This window comes from Homo sapiens, chromosome 2 (genome assembly GCF_000001405.40).
Source record: "Homo sapiens chromosome 2, GRCh38.p14 Primary Assembly".
NCBI lineage: Eukaryota > Metazoa > Chordata > Mammalia > Primates > Hominidae > Homo > Homo sapiens.
In genome coordinates, this window is record NC_000002.12 from 114,279,868 (window position 1) to 114,283,683 (window position 3,816).

At 39.9% G+C, this 3,816-nt stretch overlaps 1 pseudogene; it reads right to left on the reverse strand.

Annotated features, from left to right (window-relative positions):
* Positions 1-1,216: 1,216 nt before the first annotated feature.
* LOC124906175 (uncharacterized) lies at positions 1,217-1,308 on the reverse strand (annotated as a pseudogene).
* Positions 1,309-3,816: the final 2,508 nt, after the last annotated feature.

Consider the following 3,816-nt stretch of genomic DNA (forward strand, 5'->3'; position numbering starts at 1 on the left):
AGAACAAGGCACAAGAATCCCTCATCTGACATCCTCCTGGGTGTTTTCTATCACAACTCCCACCTGCTGCCTCACTTCTTATCATATCATTACTTAGAAAAATGATTGTAATGTGACTTGAGGTGAAGCCTTTTGAATTTTCATTAAAATAAAAAAAATCATTATAAAAGAAAAAAACACATTGTATATTCAGTGACACCTCTCTCACTTTTTCTTGAAAAGGACATGAATAATTTGGGAAAAATAAATTCATTATGTCATACTGGGATTTCCATATTAAATTATATTGTTTTGAAACCATATGGAACTGCCATTTAGACAGTCAAAAAGAGTTGAAAATTAGCAATTTCATATGGTTCAACTTAATAAGAGCTGTTACTCATTGATCATTGTTTGTGTCAGAAAATCTATGAAAAAATCCTTATTTCCTTATTAATCTTCATAATCATCACAAGTAGTGATAGTAAATCTCCATCAGTTCCCATCTTCCTACCTTTGCCAAAGCCGCCCCACATGGACCTTCTTAGGCAAATGAAGTTTCAAGATCTGTCCTCCATCCCATTCCCCGCCCTGCACTTCCTACCCTAGCCCACACTTAGAATTGCCTCTCCTAAACTCTATTTTATGGAAATATTTGTGATGGTACTGCCTAAGACACAGGCGTTGTTATCGCACACGCTTAACAGATTGGGAAATGGAGGCTTAGGGAATCAGGAAGGAAGACAATTGGAGCAGCAATTAGGTAGGATTTGAACCCAGGTCATCTTGGCTTAAAATTCTGAGCTTCTTCAACAATTGCCATAGTATCTCTATGCTTGATGACTCAATCACCTGATATAAAGCACTGCGAAGGTGACCTAACACATTTGGGCCAAATTGCTAGAATTAACCTTATTCATATAGTCATGACAGATCAATAGAAATATTACTTTGTCCTTGTCCTTATGTAATGTCAAAGATCGATGAAACCTCAGAAATGACCTGATGGTTCAGTGTCCCTAGGGGAATTTGCTACAAGTGAAATATTCCGGACCCCTTCTCCAAAGATTCCAAATCTAAGTCAGGGATAAGTCCACAAAGATTTACTTTTCTATAACCACCTCAGGTGAGCCCAGTGAGAAACTTCAGGAAAATCTTGGATAAATGTTAACCTAGTCCAGTTGCCTTATTTTATTTATTTTTAAAAAATCTTTTTCACTTAATATTTTTTTCTTCAGGTCAGATGGGTAATGTGCCCATTCGAGGGTGGCACATCTCACACACGTGCATGAACACCCGATCATCTATGCTCATGAAGTACAAAAGGATTGATTGCCTTATTTTATAGATGAAGAAAGTCACTTGAGATGTGAAGCTATTTAACTTACTGCTCTGTTGGTACCATTGGTACTAGGACTAAATTTAGGTCTCTGAACTCATAATCAAGTGGACTGATTCCTAAACTTTAACCACAGACCCCAGAAATGCAGGTGTGTGGTAAGCGTTATTAAAGGTTAAATAAATAACATGAGTCACACACACAGTATTTATCAACAAGCACAGCGATGGCCTTTTGATTGAAAGTGGATCTGTTATTAGGCCTCCACTTGCCAGCTAGCCTAGCTCAGCTGGGGACACCAGAAGTCAGTTCAGGCCTAAAAGTAATCAAACTGAAGACTGGTTGAAACTTCTAATGAAATCTTCAAACAGAACCTTCCCCAGAAGTCTAGTCTAGTTGTTCCAAACCAGACTAGTCTGGGTTGGAAATACCAACTTCAGGTTTTTAGAGTAAACATGTAAACAATGTCCTCTGTAGAAATGGACCTAAAAGAAGCCTGATCTTTGGACCTCCTAAGGGATGCTATGTGTTTGGACAAGGTCTTGGATTTATCCAATCAAATGCTTACTTGAGTGGTTTTGTAGTAATTCCTTGTATGTGGTGAAAAGGCGGAGTGAACAAGAATCTCCAGATCAGAGATATGGGGAGGGGACAGGAGAGTATAATGAATTCCCTCCTAATACACACTAGTACCATGTGGATGGCAGCTGTGAGCTCCTTGCACTTGGTGAAATGGTCACCTGGTGTGTGATGCAGTACCTGCACCTCCATGCAAGACCGTAGACGTGGGGAGCCTCTACTTCCATCTGGGAGCATGCTATATTGCCTCTGTCAATAACTATCTCTATAAATTTTAAAGTTTCGGTTCAGATATAACTTTTGCATCCTTTATCTGTGGCTGTTGGTGTCTTTCCATCAATCATGTCCCATGGCCCTGTTGTGATAACCATGCACCCACAGTCCTCAGTTCATGTAAGCATACACAATGAATAGTAATGAAGATGATGCTCTGGACATGCCACTTCTATTTCTGCAAGTCTCTATAAATCCAAGTCAAGGTCCTAAGGTGCCTGCAGGTGCCCCACAGAATTCTCTTCTGAAGCCAGTTCTTCAGCCTCCATATCTATTTAGTCTTTGTTTCATCCTTCTCTGCCCTCTTGATGTTGTTAGTCTATTTAACAGGCATCTATTATTTAGGCATCTAAGCCTCCATTCCATCTGGAAAGCTGTCTACGCTTTTGTGAAGACCTGGATGATCCCTGTCCACTGCCCACAGTCAAGGGTGAGGGGCGGCTCAGCAGGCATATCCCTGCTCTTACCTGCTGCCTCCCTTCCCTGCTTGTTGGTTGATTGTGCTCAGTGCCCATCGAGGTAGGGCTTCAGCATGCCCTGATGTCCGCAATTCTCTCTCAACCAAGACTTCAGCACAACACAAGGAGTGTTTTGTTTTGTTTTTTGTTTGTTTGTTTTTGAGATGGAGTTTTGCTCTTGATGCCTAGGCTGGAGTGCTATGGCATGATCTCAGCTTATTGCAACTTTTGCCTCCCAGGTTCAAGCAATTCTCCTGCCTCAGCCTCCTGAGTAGCTGGGATTACAGGTGCCTGCCACCACGCCTGGCTAATTTTTTGTATTTTTAGTAGAAATGGGGTTTCACCATGTTGGCCAGGCTGGTCTCGAGTTCTTGATCTCAGGTGATCCACCCGCTTCAGCCTCCCAAAGTGCTGGGATTGCAGGCATGAGCCACCACGCTCGGCCAGCACGAGGAGTTTTGAGGTATATTTAAAACCAGAAAGAACTAATACAGGTGCTCACAGAATCAACTGTAACATGATTTTATCTAAAAATCTGCCCTTTTCAATTCCAACATTTGATTTTCGGGCAAATCAGTTATTTCTTACGAAATTAAAAACTGAATTCTCATAGGATTTCAGAAATGACTCTGATTTCAAAGTGCAAACTGCTTGAAAGCCTGAACTAACCACTTAACATGAACTACATCCCAAAACTCTAATTCAGAAATATTATGTTATCTCCTTTGTAAAAATCTTCCTGTGGTGTGGTACTTAGCACTGGGGTCACTTCTGACCACCAATATGGAGAAATGAAACATTTTTTATGTGATTATCTTCTTTTACTCATCCTTGCTCTTAAACGCTGTTTCTCTTTGATGCCCTATGTTTATTTTAGATCATTTTCCAAGTCTTTTAATGTTTTCTAATCCTGCCCCTGCCCTCCTTATGTGACTATCTAAAACTAAGCAAAACAAAGCCCACCTAATTCATATTAAAATGTATTGCAGACCAATGACTTACCCATATATCAAGGAATTATTATAGAATAAAATATATAAACATAAAGAACTCAGATCAGATAGTCTTGGATGGATTATAAGGCATTATTTTGATTTTATGTGGCCTGACATGATTATTGTGAGCACTAATGATCATTTTTCTAATATTGGGTGACAACATGATTACTTGGTTTTGTTGTATGCATCG